The sequence below is a fragment of the Homo sapiens genome, chromosome 1, assembly GCF_000001405.40.
Source record: "Homo sapiens chromosome 1, GRCh38.p14 Primary Assembly".
Taxonomy (NCBI): domain Eukaryota; kingdom Metazoa; phylum Chordata; class Mammalia; order Primates; family Hominidae; genus Homo; species Homo sapiens.
Window position 1 is genome coordinate 100,306,223 of NC_000001.11, and position 25,377 is coordinate 100,331,599.

The 25,377-nt window shown below is 40.1% G+C and overlaps 1 annotated feature.

Moving 5' to 3' along the window:
* Positions 19,084–19,666: an enhancer, noted in NCBI's record as "OCT4 hESC enhancer chr1:100790862-100791444 (GRCh37/hg19 assembly coordinates)". NCBI's record gives its function as "activates a minimal SCP1, AML or CMV promoter by ChIP-STARR-seq in naive H9 embryonic stem cells {active_cell/tissue: H9 hESC(naive)}" and the evidence as "EXISTENCE:reporter gene assay evidence [ECO:0000049][PMID:30033119]".

Below are 25,377 nucleotides of genomic sequence, written 5' to 3' on the forward strand. Positions count from 1 at the left end.
GGTCTCTGATAGGGTTTGGATTTGTGTCCCCACCCAAATCTCATGTGGAATCGTAATCCCCAATGTTGGAGGTGGGGCCTGGTGGGAGGTGATTGGATCATGAGGGTGGATCCTTCATGATTGGTTTTGCACCCTCACCGTGGCGCCGTCCTCATGATAGTGAGTTCTCATAAGATCTGGTTGTTGAAAAGTGTGTACCACCTCCCCCCCCATTCCTCCTGCTCTGGCCATGTCAAGTGCTATCTACCCCTTTGCCTTCTGCTATGATTCTAACTTTCCTGAGGCCTCCCCAGAAGCCTAGCAGATGCCAGCATCATGCTTATTGTACAGCCTGTGGAACTGTGAGCCAATTAAACCTCTCTGTAAATTACCCAGTATCAGATATTTCTTTATAGCAGTGCAAGAACAGACTAATGCAGTCCTATAATAAGGACCTTGCCCTTGGGGTTATAGTTACTCCAAATAGCCCTTTCCCCGATTCTATACTGGGGAACTTTCTGTTCCTTGGAGGACTGTTTTTCTTACCCTGATAAGTGACAGACAGCATCACTGAATAGAGAAGAAACAGAGTAAGTAAACCTGATCCAAAAAAAGTCAATGAAAAGGCTGAGAATGAACCCAAAAGAAAATGGAAGATCTGCCCTCAAGTCACATGGTAGGAAAAAGTTCATGAAGGTCAGAGCTCATGGAGCAGTTACAGGATAAACTAGGAGAGCACTCAGGAAGCCAGAGGCAGACACAGAGCACCACAGACGGAAGACCTTGAAACCAAGGCCAGGTCTAACGTAGAAAGGCAGTACCACATAGTGTTCTCTTTTCTCTGTCTTGCTGAATTCTTCTTGTGTGAGGGACTCCAATGACTTACTTTCCCACACAGTCTGGTCCAATGCAAGGCCTAAAAACTCACTTTGCCTTCTGTAAGAGAACATGATTATATCCTGTTATGATTCAGATCTATACTCTGACTACTGGTAAAAGCTGCACTGATATTTCCTCTTTAGTTTGGCTGATGTACCTTCTCTTTTCCTTTCCTAGAGATACTGCCTTTTCTTTCACTTCTGCATTATCCATAAAGACCCTGGATAGTCTCTTTTCCCCTGTCTCCTTATTTTTGTTTTTTCTGTCAGGCAATGTCTTCCTAGTTAACCTTTGTAACTGAGCTGTTGTCATGCTTACATTTTTACACAGTGCAGTTATTTTGGCTATTCTCTCTTTTTTCTTGAGACAGGATCTCACTGCATCACCCAGGTTGGAGTGCAGAGGTGCACCCATGGTTCACTGTAGCCTCCACCTCTCAAGCGCAAGCAATACTTCCCCTTCAGCCTGTTTTGCAGAGACAAAATATTTTTTGTAGAGACAGGGTCTCACTACATTGCCTAGGCTGGTCTTGAACTGCTGGGCTCAAGCAATCCTCCTGCCTCAGGCTCCCAAAGTGCTGGGATTACAGGCATGAGCCACCACACTCGGTCTTATTTTGGTTATTCTCTTAAAGTTTCCCCCTATTTTCTCTTGCAGGCATTTTTCTGTAGCTCTTCACAACTTCATTCCTTGTTTCTCTCCCATTATCAGTCCTTTTGACAAAGTAGAGATCCTCAGCAATTCTCTTGGCTCAAATACGTCTATAGCTTTATCAACATGACGACCATCCAACTTGAGAAACATTTTATTGTCTTGCATTGGAACAGTATATTTCAAACTGCATGTTCTCTACAATAATTTTTTTTTTTTTGAGACAGAGTCTTGCTGTCACCCAGGCTGGAGTGCAGTGACATGAACATGGCTCATTGCAGCCTTGACCTCTTGGGCTCAAACAATCCTTCTACCTCAGCCTCCTGAGTAGCTAATACTACAGGTGTACACCACCGTATTAGTCAGGGTTCTCTAGAGGGACAGACCTAATAGGATATATGTATATATGAAAGGGAGTTTATTAAGGAGAATTGACTCACGTGGTCATAAGGTAAAGTCCTGTGATAGGCCATCTGCAAGTTGAGGAGCAAGGAAGCCAGTGGTGGATCAGTCTGAGTCCCAAAACCTCACAGGTAGGGAAGCCAACAGGGCCACCTTCAGTCTGTGGGTGAAGGCCTGAGAGCCCCTGGCAAACCACTAGTGTAAGCCCAAGAGTACAAAAGCCGGGAACTTGGAGTCTGATGTTTGAGGACAGGAAGTGTCCAGCGCAGGAGAAAGATGAAGACCAGAAGACTCAGCAAGTCGGCTCCTTCCAACTTCCTCTGCCTGCTTTATTCTAGATGCACTGGCAGCTGATTAGATGGTTGTCCACCCAGATTGAGGGTGGGTCTATCTCTCCCAGCCCACTGACTCAAATGTTACTCTCCTTTGGCAACACCCTCACAGACACACCCAGGAACAATACTTTGCATCCTTCAATCCAATCGGGTTGACACTCAATACTAACCACCACAACCACCATGCCAGCTAATTTTAAAAAATCCTTTTTTGTAGAGATAGAGTCTCACTGTGTTGCCAGGCTGTAAAAGAATTTTTTAAATTTCATTTTTTCTAACTCAATGATTATTTTGAAAATTAATAAAATTAATATAAATATATTTAGGATCATCTGAGTGCCTATTTTATAGCCAAGTACTGCCACAAAATTTCAATATTCCAAGTTGCACATTAATTGTAGAAACATCAACGAAAACAGGGGGTAGACTTGATATGTAAGTGATGAATTTGAACTAACTGGAGGCTGAATTACATCATAGTGTATTGTACAGATGAATGTTTCTCAGTGATTCAAATATAGAGAACTAATGGGGGAAGTGAGTCAACACAGCACAAATAGTAAAAATCTGCCAAACTAAAATGAATGTACCAGACCAATCAGTATCGTTTAGTTTAAACCAAATCACAGAATCAGTGATGTTAAATTAATTAATTTGAATTTTATTTTATGGATTTATTATAATTAATTTATTTTAAAAATGCTTTTTTGTTGTATGAGTTACATACATCAGGAATTTAACTGTTTTCTATTTGTAGATATTTCTATAACATTATAATGAAAACAATTTGTCAAGCTTCTGCTTCCGGCCAAGATGGATTAACAGGATTTAGAGGTACCCTCCTATTTGGGACGACTTAAAAAGTGAACAAAATATATGGAACAACACTTTTCAAGATATTAGACATCAGGCAATGAGGGGTAGTGTTCCCTGAGATATGGGAAGCAAACACATATCCCCCTCTGACTGTGAGGATAAACTTGAGTGTCCCCTCCCATGGCACAGGGAGGGGACACTCAAGTAGAGCCTGGTAAATTCCTTGAGTTAAGGATGTTGACTGGAAGCTTGAGGAGACCTGGGTGGCTAGAATTCTGAAGAGAGGAGAGTTACACAGAGAAGTCCAGAGACCTGCAGAGGGTTCCCCTCAAATATTTAGCAGATTAGCGAAGACTGCATGCACATGAGGAAACTACCTGAGGTTCTGAAAGAATCACTCAAGAGGATTTCTTTTTTAAACCTCCCTAGTGCTGGAGCACCCAAGAGGATTAGAGGGAATAATGGTGCTTGCACAGGGCTAGAAATGTGCCTGTCCACTGACCACTCTCATCCCCCAGCCAAATAAGAAAACCCCATAATTCATGGGGAATTGTGTAGAGTACTTAGTATAGCCATGCCCCAGAAATGGGGAATAATTAGCTCTATAATAAATGCTGATCTGGCTTAGCTAACAAATTCAACAGACAGATTTAAAAAGGCCAAACTATTTCCTAGTAACTTAACTGTGGCCCAGAATCAACTTCAATGATATTTATAAGAACAAAAAAAAATCCATCCCCCAACAAGGTAAAAAACACAATGTCTGGCATCCAATCAAAAATTACCAGGCAATCAAATGATGTGGGAAAATAAGACCCATAATTATAAGAAAAATAATAGAAACTCATCCAGAATTGACAAAGATGCAAAAATTATCAAATGGCATTAAAATAGTTATTATGGCTATAGTCCATATGTTCAAAAAGCTAATGGAAAGATTGAACATGTTAATTAGAGACATAGAAGATATGAAAAGGATCCAAATAGACTTTAGAGATGAAAACTATAATACTTGAGATGAAAAATACACTGATGGGATTAAAGACAAATTAGACATTATGGAAGAGAACATTAGTAAACTTGTAGACATAGCAATAGAATTAATCCAAAATGAAAAACACAGAAAAAAATAAATTTTAAAAAGTACACAGAGTATCATAAACTGTGGGGCAACTTTAACTGGTTTACTATATAGACAGTTCCTGACTTACGATTTTTCAACTTAACGATGGTGGGAAAGTGATGCTTATTCAGTAGAAACTGTACTTTGAGTACCCACACAACCATTCTGTTTTTTACTTTCAGTAGAGTACCTAACAAATTGCATGAGATATTCAACACTTTATTATAGAAAAATAATAAAATGTTAGATGATTTTGCTGAACTGTAGGCTAATGTAACTGTTCTGAGCCTGTCTAAGACAGGCTAGGCCAAGCCATGATGTTTGGTAGATTAGGTGTATTAAATACATTTTTGACATGATATTTTCAACTTATGATGGGTTTATTGGGACATAATCCCATCTTGAGTTGAGGAGAGCTTGTATATGTGATTGGGGACCCTAAAGGAGGGGGGATAGAAAAGTATTTGAAGAAATAATGATAACGTATTTCTAAATTTGATACAAAACACAAACCCAAAATTCTGTGAAATTTCAACAAATCCCATGTGCAGGAAGCAGAAAGAAAACTACACCAGTTTGGGCAACTATAAATTGCCCAAAACCAGTGACAAAAAGAAAATCTTAAAAGCAGCCAGAAAAAAGTACATACAGAAGAACAAAGATAAGGAGGACAGCATATTTCTCTCAGAAAAATGCAAGCAAGAAGACTGGAGAAAACATCTTTGAAGTACTGAAATAAAAAAATTATAAATAGGAATATTTTCTAAAAATGGAGGGAAAACACTTTTTTAGACCTACAAAAGCTGAAAGAATTAACCGCCAATAGACCTGCACCACAAGAAATGTTAAAGGAAGTCCCTCATGTGGAAGGAAAATGGTAACAAGGAAACCTGGAACTACACAAGGGAAGGAACAACAGAAATGCTAACTCCGTGGGTAAATACATACTTTTTTTCTTATTACTTAGAGCCTTTTGAAAGAGAATGAAGTTTTGAGGTTGGGCACGGTGGCTTACGCCTGTATTCCCAACTCTTTGGGAGGCTGAGGCAGGCGGATCACCTGTGGTCAGGAATTCAAGACCAGCCTGGCCAACATGGCAAATAAAAAAATTAGCTGGATGTGTTGGCACACATCTGTAATCCCAGTTACTCAGGAGGCTGAGGCATGAGAATTGCTTGAACTTAGGAGGCGGAGGTTGCAGTGAACCAAGATCACACCACCGCATTCCAGCCTGGGTGACAGAGCGAGACTCTGTCTCAGAAACAAACAAACAAATTAAAAACAACTAAATAAAACAGAATGGACTGTTGAAACAAAAATAAAATGTAGTGTAGATTTTATATAGATGTGAAATGCATGACAACAGTAGCACAAAGGCTGGGAAGAGAGAAATGATAGTATACTATAGTAAGTTTCTTATGCTATATGTGAAGTAGCATAATTGGTTCTGCTTCTGTAACTGTGCTTTGACTGATAGAGGTTCTATGAAAAACTTGTTGGGATTTTGAACGGGATTGTGTTAAATCTATAGCTCCATTTGGAATCTTCCTATTCATAAACATGGTATGTCTCTCTGTTTACTTATGTCTTCTTTAAAGTCTTCTAATAAAGTATTATTATTTTTTCCATAAAGGACTACTTCTTTTGCTATTCCTAGTTACTTTATATTTTTGTTACTATGAAAAATGTCTTTTTATTTATTTTTGAGACAGGGTCTCACTCTGTCACCCAGGCTGGATTGCAATGTGACCATGGCTCACTGCAGCCTCAACCTCCTGGGCTCAAGTGATCCTCCCACTTCAGCCTCCTAAGTAACTGGGACCACAGGCACATGCCACCATGCCTGGCTAATTTTAAAATGTTTTATAGAGACAGGGTCTTGCTATGTTGCCAGGGCTGATCTCAGACTCCTAGGCTCAAGTGATCCTCCTACCTTGACCTCCCGCAGTGCTGGGATTTCAAGCAAAAAAAAATCTTTAAAAAAAAATAGATTTTATTTCAGTTTTAATCTTAGGTTCCCAGCAAAATTTCATGGAAGGTGCAGAGATTTTCTGTATATTCCTCACTCCCACATATACATAGTCATTTCTGTGTGATGGCTAATTTTATATGTCAACTTGACTAGGCTAAGGGATGCTCAGTTAGCTGGTAAAATATAATTTCCGGGTGTATCAGTGAGGGAGTTTCTGGAAGAGCTTAACATTTGAATCAGTAGACTGAGCAAAGAATATCAGATTGACTAATGTGGGTGGGCATGAGCCAACTCATTGAGGGCCCAAATAGAACAAAAGGGCAAAGGAATGGCAAATTCTTTCTCTCTCCTCTTGAGCTGGGACATCCATCTTCTCTTGTTCTTGGACATTGGAGCTCTTGGTTTTTGGGCCTTCAGACTCAGATTGAAATATGCCACCAACTTTTCAGCTTTTCTGATTCTCCAGTTTGCAGACAGCATACCATGAGACTTCTTGTCCTCAAGTAATTGAATGATTGAGTCCCATAATAAATCTTCTCATATATATACAAGGGTTTTTCTAGAGGAATAGAATTAATGGGATATACATAGAATCAATGGGCTACATATATATATATGTAGGTATACATATGTATATCCCATTGATTCTATTCCTCTTGAGAACTCTGACTAGTACACTCCCCATAGCAGCATCCTGCAGCAGAGTGACACATTTGTTACAATCAATGAACCTACAGTTATACATTATTAGCATCCTAAGTCCATTGTTTATGTTAAGATTCATTCTTGGTATTGTACCTTTCATGGGTTTTGACAAATGTATAATGACATATGTCCACTATGATGGTTGTTGCAGGTAGCAACTAGCTAGGGCCAGTGTCACAGGTGGTAAAAGTATTTACCATTACAGTTATAGGTAAAGAAAGACATATTTGTTAGAGAGGGTACGAAAATATGTCGCAAGGATGCAAAGGGCAGCACAGCAGAGAACGGGCTGTCTGCAAAGAGGCAGGTGCTGGAGGGAAGTTTTATTGGGAAGTTTTATAGTGCTGAAGGGGGCTACATGAAGAACCAATCATTGTGCCAGTGGTTGAGGTCACTGTGCCCAGGAATATTGTTGTGTCCTCATGTTGTTTGTGATTAGCCATCTCTCAGAACAATTGTTCATTGTTCTTCCTCACCTGGGGTTCTTGCCTTTTGTTGCTTACTCATCGGGACTCCACAATGGTATCATACAGAATAGTTTCACTGCCCTAAAATTCCTCCGTGCTCCACCTATTCATCTCTCCCTCCTTCACGCAACCCCAGTCTCTAGTCACCACCGATCATTTTCTTGTCTCCATAGTTTTGCCTTTTTCAGAATGTCTTTTTCAAAAGCTATACTGTATAATTCCAATACAGTACAGCTTTTTCTGACTGGCTTCTTTCACGTAGTGAAATTCAGTTAAGTTTCTGGATGTACCAAAGTTTATTTCTCCATTTACCTACTGAAGGACGTTTTGCTTGTTTTTGCTTGTTTCCAAGCTTTGGCAATTATTAATAGAGCTGCTATAAATACCCATGTACAGGGTTTTGTGTGAACAGAAGTTTTCAACCCCTTTGGGTAGATATCAAGAATGTGATTACTGAATCATATGGTAAGAGTATGTTTAGTTTTGTAAGAAACTGCCAAATTGTTTTCCAAAGTGGCTGTGCCATTTGCATTCCCACCAGTAATGTCTGGAGTTCCCGTTGCTGCACAATCTTGTCATTATTTGATGTTGTAGGTGTTTGGGATTTTGGCCACTCTAAAAGATGTGTAGTGGCTGGATATGTCTTTTTAAAATGTCAATTTTCTAACTTTTTGTTGATGTTGTGTACAATTTTGTATATTAATCTTATAATCAGCACATTTGCCATACTGTTACTAATTCTAATAATTTGTAGATTCTTCTGTATCTTCTATTTAGGCAATCATATCATATCATATCATATCATATCATATCATACCATGCAGATGTGAGGGAATGGTGGTTTTGTTTCTTCCTTTGCTTAATCCTTCTACCATTATGTTTCAAACAATTTTCTGTTGAAAAAGAGGATTTTCAGATATAGTTTGAAGGAATTTGGCTACGATATGGATAATATCAAGTTTGAGACTTCCATTGTGAAGTTTGATTTTTGCCCCCTTCTCTTATGAGCTAAGAGAAGTTTAATTTTCTTCCTCTTCTCACTTCCCCTTTATTGGAAGTTGAATTCTACTTAATCCTAATTTCTCTTCTTTTTCAGAAGTTAATTATAATGTTCTTCCCCAAGGGTTTTACTTTAAGGTAGATGTCAGCCAAAATGATGAGGTTAGGTGCAACCTGCATCTTTGTGTTTCTGAGGTTCAAAGAGCTCTTAAAAGCCATGTGATCAACTCTAGAAGAGACCTAGAAGTTGGTAGAAACTCAAAATATGTTTATTCAACTGATTTCATGCAATTATTAGGGAATACACATTCTTTTTAAGTAAACATGGACATACATGAAAATTGACCATATGCTTATTCGTATAACAAATTCTTAAAAGTTTTCAAAGAATGAATACCAAATAGAACACGTTCAGTGACATCAATGCATTTAAGTTAGAAATCAGTAACAAAAATATACCTTTAAAATGCTATACATTCAGAAATTAATCCATGGATTAAAGAGAAAATCACAATAGAAATTAGAAAATACTTATAACTGAATGATAATAAAGACTGCATAAGTAAACACTTGTGGGAGGCAGCCAGAACACTACTTAAAAGAGACATGAAAAGATGCTTGATCACATTATCATCATGGAAATGAAAATGAAAATCCCAATGAGATACCATATTGCACTTATTAGAAGCTGGCAAAAGTTTTTTCTTTTAGGAGATGAGGTTTCACTCTGTGGCTCAGGCTGGAGTGCAGTGATGTGATCATGGCTCACTGCAGCCTCAAACTACTGGGCTCAAGTGATCCTCTCACCTCAACTTCCCAGGTAGCTTGGGATTACAGGTGTACATCATCATGTCCTGCTGATTTTTAATTTTTTTGTAGAGATGGAGTCTCTCTATGTTGACCATTATGGTTCTGAACTCCTGGGCTCAAGTAGTCCTCCTGCTGACATAAGATTCTTTCAGTGCCACTTTGCCACTTGGAAAACTCTATGGCTGGCAGCTCCTCTGCCTGAGTTTCACTTGTGACTGCAAGGGGGTGTTACAGTGTGTCATAGCTCTGGCTTGGGGAGTCCCAAGGTCTGGGCCCTGAGAAGGATTGCAGCTCTTCCCTTGTAGTCTGGTGAATGGGAGCATGTCACTGCCCGCCATTCAGGAACATGCTTCAGCTCATTCATGTTACAACTCATTCAGCCCTGCCACCCTGCTTTGTCCTGAGGCTCCTGGGTTGGCCTGGTCCTGCCACTACTTCTTATCATGTGGGGTGGCTGGTCAGTGCCAGCAGAGCACAGGAGGGCTACAGTGTTAGAGCTCCTTTTGCACCTGGCTTTTGATGGGTCCCAGGTTCTTGTCCTGCGTCCAAGAAGAATGAGGTTACATGGACAAACAGAGAGTAAGCAAGGTGGAGAAGAGTTTTATTGAGCAACAGACCAATTCTCAACAGGATAGGGGACCCAGAGTGGGTAGCCCCTATCTGAAGGCAGGGTAGTCCCAATGTGTGGCTGAGTCTGGGGTTTTTATGGGCTCAGAGTTGGGGAGTGCATGCTGATTTGTCCATGAGTGAGCCTGGAAGAAACACCATTTGATTGGCTAAAAGGCATCGAGGAAGTTCTCACTCCGGGTTATGGACTCTACGCAGAACTAGCAGCCCAGTTTTCAGGCTCTGGCTGTCTTTGGCTTGAAGGTTGGGTTTCATTGGGGACCAACCCCTGTCTGCCTAGGAATCTGTCTGCCTCCTGCTACTATCACTGCCTCAGCCTCCCAAGTAGCTGGGATTACAGATGCACACCACCACACCTGGCTAAATTTTTTGTAAAAGACAAGGTACTCAGTCTGGTCTTAAACTCCTGGGCTCAAGTGATCCTCCCACCTTGGCCTCCCAATGTGCTGGGATTATAGGCCTGAGCCATTGTGCCTGGCCAAGTTTGAAATCTGTAGTGTTTTAAAATCTGTAGTGTTTGCAAGAATGTGGAACAATGGGAACCCTTATGTGCTGTTGGTGGAAGTGTAAGTTAGTCTATCACTTTGGAACAAAGGTTGATATTACTCAGGAAATTTGAAGATGTACATGTCCATAACCTAAAATTCCTTTCCTTGATATATAAACTGTGAACTCTCATATGTATGCATCAGGATATATTTACAATAATATTTATAGGAATATTATTAGAAATAGTCTAAAAATTGCAAGCAATTGAAATGTGTATTGATAGAAGAATGGCTAAAGAAAAGTAGGTGTTGTCACATAATGGAATATTATACAGCAGTGAAAAGGAATAATCAATGCCTTACTGCTACATGGGCAAATATCAAAGCAACTTTGAACTGAGAAGGTAAGTCACAAAAACACACAATCAGTTTAATTCCCTTCATGAAAATTTCAAAAGCATGCAAAACTATACATTTATTTTATTGGGGTGCAATAAATTGATTCTAAGACAATGAGAGAATTCAATATCTAGAAAAGCAATCACTCTAGGGTAGAAGGGGGGAAAGGCAAGCTGTCAAAAAAGGGCACAAAGAAGAAATGTGGCAAAATAAAGTTCATATAATATGTGCAATTAAAACCACAAAAGGCAGAAAAGAGTAAAAGACAAAATAGGAATAAGGAATAAGGGCAAAAAATAGAAAATGGTAACAAAAGAGGTAGTTATTAATCTAACAATATCAAGAATCTTTTTGAATGTCAATGGTATAAATGCACCAATTAAAAGACAAAGATTGTCAGAAAGGATAAAAAAAATTTCCAATTATATGTTGTCCACAAGAAACCTACTTTAAATATAAAGACACATGTATTAAAAGTAAATGATAAGAAAGATATACCACGCTAACACCAATCAGAAGAAAGCAGGAATCACTATATCAATTTCAGATAGAGGAGAATTCAAAGCAAGGAAAGTTATTGGGGATAAAGTGTGGCATTACATAATTATAAAGGGGTCAATTCTTTAAGAAGAAATAATCCTTAATGTGTATGTGCCTGAAAACAGAGCATCAAAACACGTGAGCCAAAAAAGGGCATAAAGTAGATTTCCCAAGTGCTAGTAATATTTTATGATGTAAGCTGGGTGATAGGTATATGAAATGTTGTCTTATATAAAATATGTATGTAAATCATATATGCCATTTTGTATGTGCTATGGTCTGAATGGTGGTATTCCCCCAAATTCCTGTGTTGGAACCTAATACCCAATGTGATAGTATTAAGAGTTGAGACATTTAGAAAGTGATTAGGTCATGAGGGGATCTGCTCTTATGAATGGGACTAGTGCCCATATAAAAGAGACTTGAGAAAAGAGAGCTTGTTTTGCTCCTTCCATCATTTGAGGACACAGAGAAGACACCATCTTCTATGGTGGAAAGGAAACTTCATCAGGTACTGAATTTGCTGGCACCTTGGTCTTGAACTTCCCAGCCTCCAGAACTGTGAGCAGTAAATTTATGCTGTTTATGAATTACAAATTCATGTTGTTTATAAATATACCAGTTGAAGCTATTTTGTTATAGCAACCAGAACAGATTAAGAGAGCATGTATGCTGTATGCATATATATATATATCTCATATATTGTATATATCTTTATATAATATTAATATTTTATGATGTATTTCACAACATGGAAAAGATTGCTCTGGTAGCTACATGGAAAGTGTTTCTCCTCTTTAACAGAGTCAGGGAGACATGTAAAGATGCTGACACAGTATTGATAAAATGCACAAATCTTTTGAAATAGAATTTAGGACTTTTGAATTAACTGGATGCAGTAGGTTAAAGAAAAAGGAAAAAAAAGATTATTCAATTTTCAGGCTTATAAGACTATACATCTTTATAATTCATAGAAAAATTCTGGAAAGCTAACACTAGAAACAGTGTTGCCTTCAGTGGATAATCGAAACAGGGTCTAGGTAGATGAGAGAGGGAAGCATACTTTTCACTGTCCCTTTTGAATTCTGAACTATGTTCATGCATTATCTATCCAAGAAATGAAAAAAAAAAAAAGAAAATAAAAAGATGAGATTTGTATGTAACTCATATATGCCTGTTCTGATATAATAGAAAAGTTTTGTAGTAGCAATATTATTACAGCAATGAGTCCACTCATGTTTTTGGGATCTGATGCTGAATTAGGCTAAATAGCATATTGATATCATTTGGGTGTTTGCCCTCTCCAAATATCATGTTGAAATGTAATTCCCAGCCAGGTGTGGTGGCTCACGCCTGTAATCCCAGCACTTTGGGAGACTGAGGTGGGTGGATCACAAGGTCAGGAGTTCAAGACTAGCCTGGCCAACATGGTGAAATCCTGTCTCTACTAAAAATACAAAAATTAGCTTGGCATGGTGGCATGTGCCTGTAATCCTAGCTACTCAGGAGGCTGAGGCAGGAGAATGGCTTGAACCTGGGAGGCGGAGGTTGCTGTGAGCTGAGATCATGCCACTGCACTCCGGCCTGGGTGACAGAGCGATACTCTGTCTCAACAACAACAACAACAACAAAAAAAGTAATTCCCAGTTTTGGAGGTGAGGCCTGGAGATGTTTGGGTGATGGGGGTGGATTCCTCATGCATGGCGTGGTGCTGTCCTCATGGTAATGAGTGAGTTCTCACACTGAGTTCAAGAGAAATCTGGTTGTTTAAGAGAGTGTGGCGCTTCCTCCCTCTCTTGCTCTTACTCTTGCCATGTGATTCGCCTGCTCCCCCTTTGCCTTCAGCCATGAGTGGAAGCTTCTTGAGGCCTCACCAGAAGCAGATGCCAGCACTATGTTTCATGTACAACCTGCAGAACCATGAGTTAATTAAATTTATTTTCTTTATAGATTACCCAGTCTCAGGTATTCCTTTTTAGCAATGCAATAATAGACTAACACAGAAAATTGGTACCAAGAAGTGGGCCATTGCTATAAAAATACCTGAAAATGTAGAAGCAGCTTTGAAACTGGATAATGGGTAGAGGTTGGAAGAGTTTGGAAGTCTCGGAAGATAGGAAGATCAGGGAAAGTTTGGAACTTCTTAGAGACTGGTTAAATGGTTGTGACCAAAATGCTGATAGAAATATGGACAGTGAAGCAAGCTGATAAGGTCTCAGATGGAAATGAAGAAGTTATTGGGAATTGGAGTAAAGGTCACCTGTGTTACACTCTAGCAAAGAACTTGGCTGTACTGTGTTCATGTCCTAAGGAAGTTTGAACTTAGGAGTGATGACTTGGGGTATCTGGAAGAAGAAATTTTTAAGCAGCAAAGTGTTCAAGATGTGGCCTGGCTGATTCTAACTGCCTGTAATCAGATGTGGAAGCAAAGAAATAACTTAAAGTTGGAACTTATATTTAAAAGGAAAGCAGAGTGTAAAAGTTTAGAAAATTTGCAACCTGGCCCTGTGCTAGAGAAAGAATCCAAGCAGGCTGTGGAACGACCACTTGCTAGAGAGATTTGTGTGTCTAAAAGGGTGCCAAGTGCTGATATCCAAGACAATGGGAAAAGGCCTTAAAGGCATTTCAGAGATCTTCTAGGCAGCTCCTCCCATCACAGGCCCAGAGGCCTACGAAGGAAGGATTGGTCTCAGGGACCAAGCCCAGGGCCTCACTGCCCTGTTCAGTGTCAGAGTACTGCTCCTACATCCCAGCTGCTTCAGCTCCAGCTGCAGCTCAAAGGGCCCCAGGTACAGCTCAGGCCACTGCTCTAGGGGGCATAAGCTGTAAGCCTTGGTAGCTTCCACATGGTTTTAAGCCTGCAGGTGCACAGAATGCAAGAGTGAAGGACATTTGGCAGCTTCCACCTGGATCTCAAAGGGTGTATAGAAAAACCCCAGGTGCCCAGGTGGAAGGCTACCATGGGGGTGAGCCCCCACAGATACTCTACTAGGGCAGTGCTAAGAGGAAATTAATTAGAGTCCCCACATAGAGTGTTCACTGGAGCACTGACTAGTGGAGCTGTGGGAAGAGGGCTACTGCCCTCTAGACCCCAGAATGATATAGCCACTGACTTGCATCCTGAACCTGGGAAAACCACAGGCACTCAACTTCAACCTGTGAGATCAGCCATGGGGACTGTACCCTGCAAAGCCACAGGGGTGGAGCTTCCCAAAGCATTGGGAGCCTGTCCCTTGGCACCAGTGTGCCCTGGATGTGGGACATGGAGTCAAAGGAGATTATGTTGGAGTTTTAAGGTTTAATGTCTGTCCTGCTGGGTTTCAGATGTGTGGGGCCTGTAGCCCCTTTCTTTTAGCTGGTTTCTCCCCTTTGGATTGAGAATGTCTACCCAATGCTTGTACTCCCCTTGTGTCTTTGAAGTAAAGAAATTGCTTTGCATTCCACAGGCTTATAGGTGGAAGGAATTTGACTTGAGTATCAGATGAGACTTTGAACTTTGGACTTTTGATTTAGTTGATGCTGGAATATGTTGAGACTGGGAGACTGTGAGGAAGGGTTGATTGTATTTTGCAATGTGAGAAGAACAAGGGATTTGAGAGGCCATGGGTGGAATGACATAGTTCGGACGTTTGTCCCCTTTAAATTTCATGTTGAAATGTAATCCACAACATTGGAGGAGGGGGCTGATGGGAGGTGTTTAAGTCATGGGGGTGGATCCCTTATGAATGACTTGGTGCTGTCCCCACAATAATGAGAGAGTTATCGCTCGGTTCACATAAGATCTGGCGTCTCCCCCGACTCTTGCTCCCATTCTCCCCATTTGACTTGCCTGCTGTCCCTTTGCCTTCTGCCATGACTGGAAGCTTCCTGAGGCCCTCACCAGAGACAGATGTGGGTGCGGTGCTTCTTGCACAACCTGCATAACTATGAGCCAACTAAATTTGTTTTCTTTATAAATGACCTAGTTTCAATGCAAGAATGAACTAACACACAAATCTTTTGTGTTTATCCTAGGCTAGGATGGAAGCGAGAGTCGACTGCCCTCTGGTCAAGGACTGACTCCTGCTGAGGTAAAACATGGCTGCTAGGCTTCCCCTTCAGTAGGGCTGTAAGTGGGCAATGACTGATTGATATAACAGCACAAAGAAACCATAGACTACTCCCTGGCTGATCCTAGTGGCTGCAGCAGCCCCGTTTTAAAATTGTAAAGTGTGGTTGATCTTTGACACTCCTTCATGCCCTATCTGTATATTTTCTTACCAGCATCCTCTCATGTGCATAATCCTACACATGTAAGCTAGTCCTCGGCTAGCTGCAAAGTGATAAAGCCTTAAATTATTAACCCTCCAAAGGGATTCTGTGTATGTGTGTGTGTGTGTGTGTGTGTCTCTGTGAGAGAGTGTGAGTATATGTTTAAGAGGCAGGAGTTGGCCGGGCGCGGTGGCTCACTCCTGTAATCCCAGCACTCTGGGAGGCCGAGGCGGGCGGATCACGAGGTCAGGAGATCGAGACCATCCTGGATAACACGGTGAAACCCCGTCTCTACTAAAAATACAAAAAAATTAGCCAGGTGTGGTGGCAGGCACCTGTGTCCCGGCTACTCGGGAGGCTGGGGCAGGAGAATGGCATGAACCCAGGAGGCAGAGCTTACAGTAAGTGGAGATCATGCCACTGCACTCCAGCCTGGGTGACAGAGCGAGACTCCATCTCAAAAAATAAAATAAAATAAAAAATAAAAAATAAAAAAAGAGACAGGAATCTAGCTATGTTGCCCAGGCTACAACTCCTGGCCTTGAGCTCCTGGCCCCTCAAGTGATCCTCCCACCTTAGCCTCCTGAAAAGGGATTCTGTGTTTTTATCAGGAATCCTAAAAATCAGAAAGCCCTCAAAACTAAAAAAAAAAAAAAAAAAGACTCTAATTATGAGCTTTCTAATGCTTATGTCTTTTACATTATGCTGTTTGACTAATCACTAATGCTGATCCTGCCTCTTGTTTTACAATGTTATTTATATAATATGCAATTGAGTTAGTTTTATTTAATTTTCATTCATACCATTCCTCATTTTGTAATGTATTTATGGTGACTTAAAATAAACACAGACCATAAAATGGTAAACTACAAATAAAGAGTTAAAAATCAGGCCCAGAGAAATAAAAACTAGAGTAGAAATCATGACCAGGCATAAAAGTAGTATGCAAATGAACTACTAGAATTGAGTTTCAAGTTTGGCCTAGGATTTCTAGTGAAAGTAAAAAGAGAGACATGATATGTTACTGGCTATTCTCCCCTTGACTTCCCTTCCAATACCTCCCAAACCCTCCCCTCCCCAAGCCTTCTATTTCCTTAGTGGAGTATGTAGCTTTTCCTAACACTATGCCCTAGAAGAAATTTCTCACATGGCGCTATAAGCTTATATTATCATCACTAATTCCACCTATCTTTGCATAATAAAGGGCACAAAGCCAAAAAGAAAGTTGTAGTTGAATCAAAATTGAGCTAATGGTTAACTTGTGCACTGAGTATGTAGGAAACAGTGAGTGTAAATGACAAGACTAAAGAGAGTTGTATATTTGTTTAGCAATTTGTATCTCAGTAGCAAATAACTAGGGATTTAAGAATCCTCATTTGTGTGCTTTGGAAATATCATGCAATCACCTAGTAAAATTGCATCATTTTTTGGTTCATATGAAAATATTTGAAGTGATGTTCACTTGGTAATTCTGTTTGCTGAACTTTGTGATTCATGTATTATTTCATTATTAAGTTGCTCTGCTCTCTACATAACTAAATATCTTCATTTAATGGGCCACTGGGGAAATAATAGTAGTTTCGAAGGAAAAGTTTTGTTCAGAATGTTTATCATGAACTTGGATGAAGAGAGAGTATATTGGTTAAAACAGTAATAAACATGAAGTTAGCAGGGTTAATTCAAACAATAAATGACAGACTCTGGGTCTCATTCCATCTTGGGCCCTGTAAATGAACACATCACAGAGGATCTGAAACATGCTAAAATCCAGTCAAATGCCTGTCTGTGGGTTTTTTATGGGCCACTTTCTATTCTAATCCTCTGTTCTTTGCCTGCTCTATGACTCCCCTGGATCTGCCCCTCTCATATCAGGATTAACTGCAGGCATTCTTTCTTACTGACCTATTTGGACCTACTTCTCCAGCTAGGTCCTTGGCACTGTATCCTGGAGATAATCCATGGTCAGCCTTTGGCTCCACACCCTGAAGCTTTGTGGAATGGGTGCTCCTGCCTTCCCTTGCTCCTGAGAGCTTGACTCAGCTTGGCCTAGTTGGCCATGGTTCCTCACAGTATGTGAGTGTATGGGAGTGTGAGCAGTCTTTATCTCCTTTGTGTATTGCCTGGAGTCTAAGAGGGAGGAAACTGAAACGCTGCTCAGAGTTGTTTATTTATTTATTTTGAGATAGGGTCTCACTCTGTTGTCCAGGCTAGAGTGCAGTGGTATGACTGAAGCTCACTGCAACCTTGACCTCCTAGGCTTAAGCAATCCTCCCGCCTCAGCAGCCAGCTTATGCCATCACACCCGACTTATTTATTTATTTATTTATTTTATAGAGACAGGGGCTCCCGATGTTGCCTAGGCTGGTCTTGAACTCCTGAGCTCAAGCGATTCTTCTACCTTGGCCTCCGAAAGTGCTGGGATTACAGGCCTAAGCCCCTGTGCCAGCCCAGAGTTGTTTAACAAAACAAAACAAAAAAAACTTAAAGGTGTGTTCAGTCATTCAATCATTCCTCATTCATTCATTGTCCATTGTGTGCCTGGCAGTGAGAATGCAGAGGTAAACACGACAAACATTCTCTTCACAAGAGTTAACTTAATATCAAAGGAAGAAGTAATTTTAAAGTAGCTTTTTTGGGGTGTGATTTATTTACCATTTAGTGAACATAGTTGACTGGACCTTTAGGCAAGAGTGATATGACAAAGATGACGTGTCCTTAATAGGAGCTATTAATTGGTCTCCGCAGTCGTTCTCAAACTGGGGATGTTGCTGCTCCAGGAGATATTCAGCAATATCTGGAGACATTTTTGGATTCACAACTGTGAAAGTGCTACATAGTGGTTAGAAGTCACGGATGCTGCCAAACACCCTACAATGCAAGGAGAGTATACAGTTTTTCCTAACGCTATGCCCTAGAAGAAATTTCTCACATGGCACTATACGCTTTTAGTATCATCACTAACTCCACCTATCTTTTTTGGACATATAGAGTCCAAAATCTCAGTAGTATTGGGATTGAGAATCTCTGGCTAGTGCATGTATACATATATATTGGTGTATATGTTAATCTGAACGTTTCTGAGAAAGCAACTGTCAGGAAAGCTGCCTTTAGCTTGGTATCTATTATTATTATTTTTAATAGCTGGCATTAACTGATCACTTACTATAGGCCAGGTATTATGGTAAACACTTTAAATTGATCACCTAATTTAATCATCAAAACCGAATAAAGTGGGTATTATTGTTCGCTCTGTTTTAGAGATGGACAAACAGGTGTGGTGGGATTAAGAAACTTGCCCAAGACCTCATTGATGGTAAATGCCAGAGCAGGGAGTTGAGCCCAGGAAGTCTGACTCCTCACTCTTTACCACCACTGTTTGTCTAACTTCTCTAACTCAGATGCCAGGCTCTCCCTTCGGCTGTTCCTTAGCTCATTAGAAATTGCTTTAGTGATCTTCTTTTGGTTATAGGCATCTGTTGGAAGCCCGAGGGGAAAGAGAGGTTGACATAACGATATGGAAGTCAACACAAATTTGGGGAAAAAATAATTTCACATTTTAAAACATCAACATCTAGTTTATATGAGTAATGGTTTTCCCACATGATTGTGCAGTTGACAAATTAATCTGACCCAATTAAACAGAATCAACAAACACTGTTAGTCATATCTAATTCAGCTATTGTTATGTTGATGCAGAATAAACCACAGTACTACAAACAGCAGAAGCAAGCTAATAGGCTCTGATGCATTCAGCTTTCATTATTTTATACTTTATTATTTTGGCTTTACTTTTCATTACTTTACACTTCTGCTTTTCTAAGAATCCCCAGTCAGTTTCTGATTAAAAAAAAAATAGGATTGGATCGAACTTTTCACCAAATTTGGTGTTTTCAGAAGGCAAAGCAGTAGCCCGCTGTCATCCATACCTTTACTTGCATTACAATGTCTGAACACTCCTCCACTGTAATTTGATCTAGTTCCCGAACCCTATAAATCTAACTGATAGAGGGAAACTGAACACCATGTCTGCCCATGTGATAGGGTGGAATTCTTCTGTCCTTCTCACCTGAGTACAACAGGCTTGTGCCATCCAGAAGAATGAAAAGGTAACTCAGAATATGTGGGGTCCTTATAGCCCAGGTGGATATCCTTATGAAGAAGAAGAAGTATGGGCCCCACAAATCGCAGGTTAGTGGAAAGTGGGTGTTGTTCTGGTCCAGTAAGTGTCTGAAATGACTTGCTCTGACAAATACATGTGTGTGTGCCTATAGATTTGGCTGTTTCGTTTTTAGAAAGAGTAACTTATGGCCTGATGTAGTGGCTCACACCTGTAATCCTAGCACTTTGGGAGGCTGAGGCAGGAGGATTAGTTGAACCCAGGAGTTCAAGACCAGCTTCGGCAACATAGCAAAACCCTGTCTTCATGAAAAAAAAAAAAAAAAATTAGCCAGGCATGGTAGTGTGTGCCTGTAGTCCTAGCTACTCAGCAGGCTGAGGTGGGAGACTTGCTTGAGCCCAGGAGATTAAGGCTGCAGTGACCCATGATTGCACCACTGCACTCCAGCCTGGGCAACAGAGGGAGACCCTGTTTCAAAAAAATAAATAAGAGTAGCTTACCTGGAATTCATATCTGTTTGGCTCACCGTGAGTGGAAAATGCCTTTGTATGCAGGGCCAGTAACGGTTTCTAGTGGGTTAAATGTTAGGGATGTTGACTTTCTTTTTCTCCCTTCCTCCCTTCCTCCTTTCCTCCCTTCCTCCCTTCTTTTCTTTCTTTCTTTTCTTTTCTTTTCTTTTCTTTCTTTCTTTCTCTCTCTCTTTCCTTCCTTCCTTCTTTCTTTCTTTCCTTCCTTCCTTCCTTCCTTCCTTCCTTCCTTCCTTCTTTCCTTCCTTCTTCTTCTCCTTCCTTCCTTCTTTCCTCCCTCCCTCCCTTCCACCCTTCCTCCCTTCCTTCTTTCTTTCTTCTATCTATTATCATCTAATTGATAATAAGGGAGGATGACAGGTAAAAATATTTTGGGGGGTAAGCATCCTTTTTCCTGCTTGTTATCAAAACTGATATATCATCTTTCTCTCATACAGTTTAATAAGTCTCACAGAAACTTTCATTAATAACTTATCTGAATTCCTGGAGTGGTAAATGGTTGTCTGGTGGGGTTTCTATTTGTTTGTCTCTCTTGTCCTTTAGAAGTCACAGAGAGGTTAACTATCTCAAAAATTCATGGCTGGTCAATAGTTTAGATCAGTAGCATAGCTTTATGTTTTAGAATCTTCAGAAAGGCTTTCAGAGGATCCACCGTTATTCATCCTGCTTCCAGAAATGTTTTCTGCTACTGCCGGCAAACCCTGTTTGACACTAGAGGTACTTATAGTCCAATCTGAATGATAAGGTTGTGATAATAGCACCTACCTCTTAACTGATTGCAATGTGCTAAGCTCAGTACTGGCTGCCTTAAATTGTAATCTCTCCATTCATCTGTGTAATATCTTATTTATTTATTTATTTTGAGATAGAGTCTCACTCTGTTGCCCAGCCTGGAGTGCAGTGGCACAATCTCAGCTCACTGCAACCTCCGCCTCCCAGGTTCAAGTGATTCTCCTGCCTCAACCTCCCAAGTAGCTGGGATTACAGGCATGTGCCACCATGCTGGGCTAATTTTTGTATTTTTAGTAGAGATGGGGTTTCGCCATGTTGGCCAGGCTGGTCTTGAACTCCTGACCTCAGGTGATCCACCTGCCACTGCTTCCCAAAGTGCTGGGATTACAGGCATGAACCACCGCGCCCAGCCAGCTCTTTTATTTATACCCAATATATGGATGGGAAAAGTGTAGTTTACATTAAAATAATACAGGTTGGATTGAGTCACACAGCTGATAAGAAAGTAGCTTAATTGGAATTTAAATGCAGGTCGGCAGATATCAAGTTCTTGACCTTGTCTCAAAAAAAAAAAAAAGTAAAAACATTATTAGTTTTATTTACCACAAATGGAAGATCAGGGAATCTGGAGGCACAGGTTTGTGTTGTAACACTCCAAATGCCTCAGCACAATGGTAGAAACTCTCCATTATTTGTGTGTGTGTGTGTGTGTGTGTGTGTGTGTGTGTGGTTGTTTTTTTGAGACAAGGTCTCACTCTGTCACCCAGGCTGGAGTGGAGTGAGGTGATCTTGGCTCACTGGAACCTTGGCCTCCCGGGCTCAAGTGATCCTCCCACCTCAGCTCCTCAAGTAGCTGGGACTATAGCCAGGCCACTTTACCTGGCTAATTTTTGTATTTTTGATAGAGATAGTGTTTTGCCATGTTGCCCAAACTCAAACTCCTAGGCTGGTCTCAAACTCCTAAACTCAAGTGATCCACCCACCTCGGCTTCCCAAAGTGCTGGGACTACAGGTGGGAGCCACTGCACCTGGCATGTTTTTCTGGTTTGAAAATCCCAAACTTCTTTTCTTTCATACTTTGCTCCAGCCACACTGGATTACTCATTGTACCCCAGGTATGCCTCACATTTTTATGTAACAAATTTGGCAAGGATTTAATACATCCAAGGCACTGTATATTTGGGGGAGTTTAAAGAAGAATAGACATTGCATAATCTAGTGGGGATGGCATTTGTGGGCTGAGATGCTGTATTGCAGACATTAGTGTGATGAGCACTCACTCCCCAAGAGAGGTACAGATAAAACTCTATAGGAACACAGAAGAGGAAGTGATTACATGCGACAAAAGCAGCATGTGAGCTGGTTCTTGACTAAGAGAATTTTAGCAGGTAGAGATGGTGGAAAGCACATTCTAGGCATTCTAGACAATCCCAAAGCTATGGCATGGGAGGTGTTAACCTGTACAGGGCATGATATGTCCAGGGAAGAGCTACACTGTGTGGAAGAGGACTGGTATCACATTGAACATGGTCAAAGACAGGCTTGCAAGGTGGTGGGGGACAGATGGCCAAGGGCCTCAAATTTCTGATAAGGAATGTGGATTTTGTTCTATAGGCCTAGACACCATTAAAATCCAAAGACTTGCCAAAGCCTCTATCCACCCTGATCTTTCTTGACTCCCCTAAGAATGCTCACCTCACTAGCACCTGATGTTTCCTGTACCTGGAAAAATGTTTCCCCAAATATCTGCACAGCCCGTTCCTTTGTTTCCTGCAGGTCTTTGCCAAAATAACACTTTATCAGAAAGATTCCCCTGACTACCCTGTGTAAAATGGCACCCCCTTGCCCTGTATCCTTAAACCCAGTTTTATTCTTCTCATAGTCCTTACCACTATCTGGTATATTCTTTGTTTACCATTCTTCCCTCCCTCTTTCTTTCTCCCTGACCTGAAATATAAACTCCTTAAGGCAAGAATTCTTTTGTATATGTTTTATTCACCGCTATATTTACAACATCAAGAAGAGGGCATGGTACAAAGAAGGTGCTCAATATATATTTGTTCAATTAATGAATTAATTAAAGTTTGAATTTCCAGCCTCTGAGGCCCCTTAGAATACTTATATGTTAGCAAATTTTTCTTATTTTTAAAGGCTACATGCAAAAGATTCATCTGGATTGTTTGTTAACCAATGAGGAATACTGGTACTCTCCCTCAGAGGTAATTATGCAAATAATCCTCAGATCACATGTTTAAAACAATAAAGTGTGTCCCTTAGGACTCTCAGATAGCTAGTTATAGACAATAAAACTCAAATGGGCTCAAAAGAAAAGGAGAATCTTGTGGTTCACAAAATAAAAAATTCCATCATGTACCGCTTGACCCAGTGATGTAACCAAATCCTGTTTCTATCCCTCTCTCCGCTCGATCTTTCATGGCTGGATTTATCCTTGGATTCCACTTGGTGGCAAAATGGCAACTACAATTCTAGATGTTACATTTGCTCCCCACATCATGCATCAGAAAAGAACAGTGCTTTTGAACTTGGTCTCTGACACAGAGTTTGAGATTCACTCTCTCTCTCTTTGGCTCAAATTGTGTGCCTTCTTCATTCCCACCTCAGTCATTGTGACCAGTGTCAGGGGTGGACAATGCTGATTGGCCAAGCCATCCAGGGCCCACCACTAGAGCGGAGGTGGATGAGTGAGGTTAATATGACCACAACTATGTGGTCGAAGAGCAAATGTTTCAAAGGAAAATTTAGGGTGCTATTGGAGGAAGAATAGGAACTTGGATCCTAGGGAGGCAGCCAACACAATACCTGGCTTTGGGTATTCTCTTTCAGGTAGTTGACATTTGCTCCCCAGACTGGTGGTGATGGACCACAACTGTGTGGACCCGTTTCTAATCTAGTTAGGTGATATTTTTGTTCCCCTTTTTTTTCTGCAGGTATTTCGAATACTCACTATGCGCCACAAATCCCCTACCTTGTCCTACTCCTTCTTAGCAAATGATTTTGACTCTAATTCATAGAGAAAATAGAATTAAACAAGTATACCATTTCTACCACCTGACCATCCAATTCACAAACTCATTTACATTTGTGCTCATTCGTACCTAGTCCCTGGTAATCTTAAGCGTTGCAATTAGCAAACTATCCTCTGTGGGCCTGCCACATTTTTTTGTAAGAGAAAAATGTTATAGAAAGACAGTTATACTCATTTGGTTAAGTATTGCCTTTAGCAGCCAGGCGTGGTGGCTCATGCTGTTCTCCCTCAATCTACCAGGGTGCTCAAAGATATCAGACTTAAAACAAAACAATTCTCTTGGTTCTTCGACACTCTCATGACCCTGCTCTATCTTTTATTTTCCCTTCTCATCCAAGCTTCTTTTTGTATATATACATATCTTTGCCATTTATTTTTTAAAATCTTATTCAAAATATTAAATAATACAGTTTCAGATTGAAAAAAATTACTGCAATAAAACAATTCAGAGATATTTCCATTGTGCTTCCCTTCCTTGTTAGGAAAGTACACTGTCCACCCTAGAGACAGGATGGACGGCCTTCTTCCAGCTCTACCGAAAGCACAAGCCCACTGGCTCACCTGGGCCCTGCTTAACATATATTAGGGCTTATGTTTTCTGAAATGTTGTAGTGACACTTGTAAGTCAACCATGGTTCAAATCACATATTTATGTATTGATCAGTTCTTTATTATAGAAAGATAGACACAAATGAAATATAGTAAATAATTTCCAGTTGCCATAAAAAACAAAAACAAAAGAAAACAAGCGTGGAGGAAAAAAGGTCATTGTACACAAATATACTTTATGTATACAAACAACTTCATTCAGGTATAATTTTAATTTGAAAGACCTAGATACAGTATTATTTAAGTGATAATGGCCCATAAGATTTATTCAAATTCACTATAAAATAATAAATGGAGTAAACAAATGTGGTATAATTTTAAACTCTGCCCAGTGCTTGAAACCTTGGAGGAACCCATGCTATAATCAATTGCTAATTAAAAGCAACTGTACATGTATTTAATATTTTATCACAGTTTCTACTTCTAAATTTAACATAGTAATTCAAACCAAAAAAAATAGTATCTCTGTAACGTTTTATGTATGTCCACTGCAAGCTGCAGAGTCTCTGTTGCCAAGATTTCTTGACACATTTAATGTTTTACCTAAAATTGTGGTCAGATTGAGCAATATCGTTATCCTAAATTATGTTTAAATTATCTAAAAATATCCAAAGCAGTTTTCTTGGAAGGAAAAAAAATATTATTCAAATGTAAAGCATTATCACACATATCCTTGTACATTACAGTTTGGGACCACAAAAAAATGTGTGGTTAAAAAATAGTATTTGAATGGCAGAGAATGAATGTGAGTCAGCAGTGACAGATATGTTAGAATTTAGTTACAGGTTTGGGATCTTTTAAAAGTAGCATCACTAATACTTCCAGAAGAAGCATAATAAATCTAAAACAATAAAAACTAACAGTGTAAATATAAGGTAATGCTTAACTCACATTTTGGACACC